Source organism: Homo sapiens, chromosome 6 (genome assembly GCF_000001405.40).
Source record: "Homo sapiens chromosome 6, GRCh38.p14 Primary Assembly".
Classification (NCBI taxonomy): domain Eukaryota; kingdom Metazoa; phylum Chordata; class Mammalia; order Primates; family Hominidae; genus Homo; species Homo sapiens.
In genome coordinates, this window is record NC_000006.12 from 125,440,084 (window position 1) to 125,446,083 (window position 6,000).

Here is a 6,000-nt window from a genome sequence, read left to right on the forward strand (position 1 = left end):
CTCTATTTCCTTGCTCAGTTATTGGTATCCCAGTCACCTGAATTGAGCCAGAAAATCATCCTTAAACCTTCACTCTTACCCCCAACATTTAACTGTCTCTATAGTGGATATATTGGTGGCTATTTGCATGCTCAATATCTATTCAAATCTCTTTCTACTGTGTCTTCTTGTACTCAAAAAAACCTGCAAATTAAACAATGACGTTTCCCAGATGCCTTTGAAGCTAGATTTTTTTATGATTTAGATTCCACTAACCAGACATATTTATATGAGGCTTGGTTCAGAACTGAGCTTAGAAAGGATAAAAGTAGGAAACAAGGCATCCACTTTGCTGGTGTACCTTACAACAGACAACTTGGTTGTTCCAGCAACTTCCCAATTGATCAATTGGTTTTTATGCTCACAACAAGAGAAGCGACTCCCTTGGCAGCCAAGTTCTGTTGTGTAACGTTGGGAATTATTTCTAGAAATTCAGCCCAGGATCTGATTGTTTAGCCCTTCCAAACATTCTTTTAGCCATGTATACTCTTTTAAAAAAAAAATTCTTTCTGCTTAATCTAGCCAGAATAGTAGATTTTGTTCCCTGCAACTGAACCTTAAGATATTGAGCTGCAAAATTATATGGGTATTTATTCCTAAAAATATGCTAAAATGGTTCATGTCTGTCCATTGCCTTAGTTCAGGCCCTTACTGTTTCTTGTCTGGGCAATTGCAATGACCTTCTAATTGCGAAAACTAATCGCATCTCCCTACGTGCATAAACTTCTTCAAATATACTTTATCCACAAGAGTTAAACCCCAGAGTCTTTATTATGGCAGGAAAATTCTTTATTTTCCATCTATTTTACCTCACTTCCCACCAAGCTTCTATGCTCATCTCATGTTCCAACCATCAGGCTCCAAGCACAGCTCATCGGGTTGTGCCTGTGTGATTCCTCCTCTGTGTTCCACCTTGCACTTACCTATGGTGCTTTCAAGGTCCAGCTTCAATATTTTCTTTTCTGTAAAACCTTCCTTAACTCATCCTGACCAAGATGGACCTCCTCTATCTGTGCACTGCACTCTTGTTTATCTGCTTTTCTGTCTGTCTTCTTGAGCCTTCATTTAATCCAAAAACCATGCATAGTCATGCACTGTGTAACGTTTCAATCAATAACAGACTGCATATACTACAGTGGTTCCATAAGACTATAATATATTTTCACTGGACCTTTTCTATGTTTAGATACACAAATACTTACCACTGTGTTTCAATTGCCTATAGTATTCGGTACACTCACATGAATTGATCTGTAGCCCAGGAGCAATAGGCTATTGCATATGGCCTAGGTGTGTAGTAGACTATACTGTCTAGGTTTGTGTAAACACATTCTATGGTGTTTGCACCATGACAAAATTGCCTAAGGATGTATTTCTCAGAATATATTCCTGTTGTTAAGTGACACATGACTGTATGCACATCTCTGTATTCCTGTGCCCATTCAGGACATAGTCCATATGGTACTTATGCCCTCAGTAAACATTTGAATGATATAAATATCACCCACAGAAAACAGAAGAAACAGGAGAGTGAAATTTAGTCTTCACTGTCAATAAATATTTAACAAATGTCTACTAAGTTAGATTTTAGGGATAGGGTGGTAAAAAAAATCTTTCTTGGAACTTATAGTCTATTTGGGGAGAAAGTTAAAAACAAATAACAAAACATAAACAAAATAATGACAATTGGTAATAAGTGTCCTGGAAGAAACAAACAAGGTGCTAAAGAAGAGCTGAAATCCTGAGATTTCTAAAGGAAATTTCAGCTTAGAAAAGACAAAATCAAGCCTGAATGCATCCAAAGGGAGAGCTCGGTAGGAATTAGATCCTTTACAAGGTTCCTTGCTGAGTGCTCCCATCTTTGCTTTATTCCTCTACTCTTAGGCTCACAGTTCTTGTAGAGTACATCCATTCTCCAGTACATCATCTCCTTTTTGTAAACCCCTATCCTCTCTTCGGAATCAAGTTCCCTCCCTGATTCCCCAAGCCTGAATTACCTAGTCTTATAATAATGCCTTTGGGGTTTCTGTAGGACACACCAGCATAGGAGCAAGCCACATGCCGACCCCTTTAGATCTCCATATCAGTGTGGGTCATACTAATGCTTCTTAACTTTCCAGAGGCTTAATGGATGTCTGTTGGATGGTTCTCTCCCCTCCTCCCTCTCTCTTTCACACACACGTATACACACACACACACATTCATTTTCACATATACCAATGGTAAATATTAATTCTTAGATTTTAAACCCAAATAAAGAAACATCCTTCTCAAATGCCTATAATTTGCAAGTTTGTCTCGCTCTCTCTCCATGGAGTCAATTCTTACCATTGCTACTGAGCCTCTTCTGTGTCCCCAGTATGTGCTTCACGCTGGGGACACAGAAACAAAGACCAAAAGTCCCACTTTCACACACTGATTGCCCAGTGAGAGTCTTATCCACCTCAAAAATATCTTTTGCATCTCTAGTCTTTTCTCTCCATCTCCACTCCATTGAGTTTTCACTGCTTTCCTGGTACAGTTTTCTCTGGCTGCCTTGAGCTTGTGGCTGTCTCAGTTTTTCTAGCACTTGTTACAATAGACCTTATGTTATTATTAATGTCTGTTTCTCCACTAGACTATAAGGTCTTTGAGGGGTGGGATCCAGGTTTGCTTCCCTGTACCGAATACTATGCTTCTCAGATAATAGATGCTCAATACATTTTTTTGAGTAAACATCTCTTAAGCCCAGAAAAGACTCTCCAAGTGACATTGAGTGACTTTCCAAATTCCCATTAAATATTAGAGGTAGGTATGAGCCACTTCTTTCGCTGTTGGGGAAACCGAAGTTCTAAGAAGAGAATTTGCATTTTTACAGTCTTTTTCCTTTCAAAGCTCTTTTGTGTGTAAAAGAAATTTTGTACAGTAAAGAATGATCTCTATGTAAATGACTATCATTTATTATGCTATCCCTGGGGAAGAGTCATGAAATAACTTGTTTTGAATAACCCCACTTCACAGATGCAGACGCTGAGAGAAACAGAGCATTAGTGTTTGACCTAGGGCCAACCAATCACTCAAGGTTCAGCCACTCAGGAGTCAGTTCTTTATATGCAAGCACTGTAAGAACTTGGTGAGTTATCTTTACATTGATGATGGTTTTCTCCAGGCTTCCCACCTATGGCTAAAAGAGTACAAGGGGAGGAGTCAAAGCACCTGGGTTTGAAGCTTGACTCCACTACAACTAGGTCTGGGTTAGCTCTAAGTCCCAAAGTCATGATACTTGCTATGTCAGCTTCTTGGATCAAGTGAACTAATACATGCCTAAATCCTACAGTCTGTTTGAGCTGTGTGTGTGGTACCATTTCCATTTTTTTCTCTAGGCCTTATAGATCACTTATGGCAAATACTGTGTCTTCTTCTGGCTTTGCAACACCAAATTTGAATGGTTAATTTACTGCAAGACATTGTATGAGTTCTAAATCCATATTAAACTAATAAAGATATATAAATAAGTAATGCTAAAATAAATCCAAGACCAAAAAAAAAAAGAAAAACCAAAGAGCAAAAGTGATTCATCTATTTCAAATCTCCTAACAGTAGAAAAAGAATCCCAGCATTTTGGTAGGCTCCTTTTTAAAAAAAATTACTCCAAACGTAAGATAAATATGGAGGTCTAAACACACAGCTAAAGAAATCCATTATAACAACTCAAATTCATTTGCACCAAAAATAACAAAAACTTTTGGCTTTCAGTTATATAGATCTATGTCTGGTTACTCATTCCTTAAAACAGGATCTGTAAATCAAGTTGCTGACATTTGAGTGGTGGCTGGAGTCCATTTTCAATTTCATTTCACTTCATGTAATTACGCTCAATTATGGTTTAATAAATTGATAATATCAAATTAATGCTTTCTTTGAGGTTTGAAAAATCCCAGACACCACAATGTTTAAGAAAAATTCCTTTAACCTACTGCATCATGTCTCATCCAGTCGCTGATACAGAGTCCTGCCCTAACTTGGAAACTCTGCTCCACAACTATCTGCAGAGGAGACAGCACTGAGAGGAAGCATTTAAGCCGAATACATCCAAGTAGATGTGGATAAAAACCCAAGGAACTTTTCCTAAAAGTAAGGCACTCATCCAGCTTTCCTGTTTGCTAACATCATCATGCAAAACCCCGTGAGTTTTCAAAGGTTATGGACCAGCCACTGCTTCTTTGTGAGGCGGGGAGACCTGCACCACGGCCACATCATCAAATTCAATGGCATGTCCCAAGGCAACGCCTGTCCTTTCAGGCTGAAAGCTTCATTTGTCTTCAGTTCTGCCGAGACCCCAGAGACAGAGCTGCTTTGACAGCCTCCCACTCTCTGAGGGGTCACCTGTCGCCTTGCCCAGGTCAAGGGAGGTCAGCTTCTCAATGGGAATTTTTTAAAAAAGGAGGCAGGCACGGGTCTGTCCATAAAAGGACCTCTTTGAGGTTGGTGGAAAAAAAAATGCAATGCATTTTGTGTTCCCAGTTAGACCTTCTGGAACGAGGCCGCCTGAGAACAGGCCTGTGAACAGTTCCTACTGGAGGACGGCCAACAGAGGCCACCCAGACGTTTTTCACAGGACCTCTAGCTGCCTCTGCTAACCCAGAGGCAGACGAAATTGGAGTCAGGGCGGCCACCTCCTGCCCCCGTCTCCCCACCCCCACCCCTGGGTGGCTGCTGAGCAGCACAGGAGTTTACTGAACCAGCTGCCTCCTGACAGGATAAAGCAATTTAGGGTCAAGGACAGGAAACCAGATTTGCACAGGCAAGCACAGTGAAAAGCTGCCATTCGCTGATGACCATATGGAGCCTTCACTCTTCTTTTCCTCCCTTCTCTTCCACACACGACCTCCCACACAACAACCCTTTCACTCAATATACCTGCTGGAAGAGAGTTCAGTCACATTTTGACACAAGTAGCAGGCCCATATGCAGTTCCTGTGAACATTTCTTCTGTCCCTTTTCCTCCTTTCCTTTCCTCTGGAGGCCTCGGGCATATCCAGTGGGTACCGTGCGCTGGGCTTGTGCAACGTGGAAAGGCAGGGGCAAGGGCAGCTGTGGGCAGTGCTCAGCTGTGGGAAGGAACCTTGTGAGGAGCCGCCTCCTCTTTTCTAGCAGAGAGAAAAGAGCTGCCTGTTCTCTAGCCTTCCTCCCCAGGAATCAAAGAGCCTCCCCACACAGGGCACCCACCTCTGAACAGCCAGCCCGCCTGACAGCTCACCTCAACTAAGTGTGCCTTCCCTCTCCTTCCTCCCGCCCCACTCCTCCACCCACTGTGACAAACCTGAATGTGCTCTTGAATTTTATGCTTCGTTCTTTGGGCTTATGCTTTGCTTCAATCTCCATAAGACAAAAATGTTAATTTGCTTTTTACCAAAGCCAGTTCAGATATCCCCTTCTGTGTGAAGCCTCTGGATGCGTTCAGATATTCCCTCCTCTTACAATCTATATGTAAAACTACTACTGATTTGTAATGAAGTCCTTTAGCTACCGCCGGGGAAGTGTGGATTTTAAGGCTCATCTCCAAGCACCGCAGCATGGATGCTTCATCACTGCTTCTAAACTGATGCCCCTTATGACTAAACCCAGGCATTTTGGGGGATGGCTGGCGGACACTGAACCTAACAATCCCATGTGTTAGAGCTCATAATTTTGGCTTCATTTGAGCAGTACCCTAACAAGCCCTTTAGCTGACCAGCCCCAGCTCTTAGTTACCAACAGGCAGCACAGTCTAAGATGAACTGACTCATTATCATCTGGGAGTGCAGATTCCGGACCATGGCATCTAAAGACAAACCTATACAAGAAAATTCAGGAGGGAAACAAAAGAACTCCAGCATCATCCCCTTACATGGCTTTTTGTAGCACCAAGCCTTTATTAAATTCAGTGTGTGTTCTTGTGGAATCTGCACATGTCCTTATTGTCGCTTCTTTAAGCCTGAA

General features: G+C 41.8%; 1 long non-coding RNA gene across 6 annotated transcripts in view, besides 2 other annotated features; it reads right to left on the reverse strand.

Annotated features, from left to right (window-relative positions):
- The window catches only part of LOC102723341 (uncharacterized), a 75,143-nt gene extending 70,047 nt beyond the window's left edge, over positions 1-5,096 (reverse strand). For all 6 annotated transcript variants that reach the window (NR_187740.1, NR_187738.1, NR_187739.1 and 3 more), the window contains exon 1: positions 4,939-5,096. This is a non-coding gene — a long non-coding RNA (uncharacterized LOC102723341). The remainder of the gene's footprint in view (positions 1-4,938) is intronic.
- Positions 4,602-5,115: an enhancer, noted in NCBI's record as "H3K4me1 hESC enhancer chr6:125765831-125766344 (GRCh37/hg19 assembly coordinates)". NCBI's record gives its function as "activates a minimal SCP1, AML or CMV promoter by ChIP-STARR-seq in naive H9 embryonic stem cells {active_cell/tissue: H9 hESC(naive)}" and the evidence as "EXISTENCE:reporter gene assay evidence [ECO:0000049][PMID:30033119]".
- Positions 5,116-5,627: an enhancer, noted in NCBI's record as "H3K4me1 hESC enhancer chr6:125766345-125766856 (GRCh37/hg19 assembly coordinates)". NCBI's record gives its function as "activates a minimal SCP1, AML or CMV promoter by ChIP-STARR-seq in naive H9 embryonic stem cells {active_cell/tissue: H9 hESC(naive)}" and the evidence as "EXISTENCE:reporter gene assay evidence [ECO:0000049][PMID:30033119]".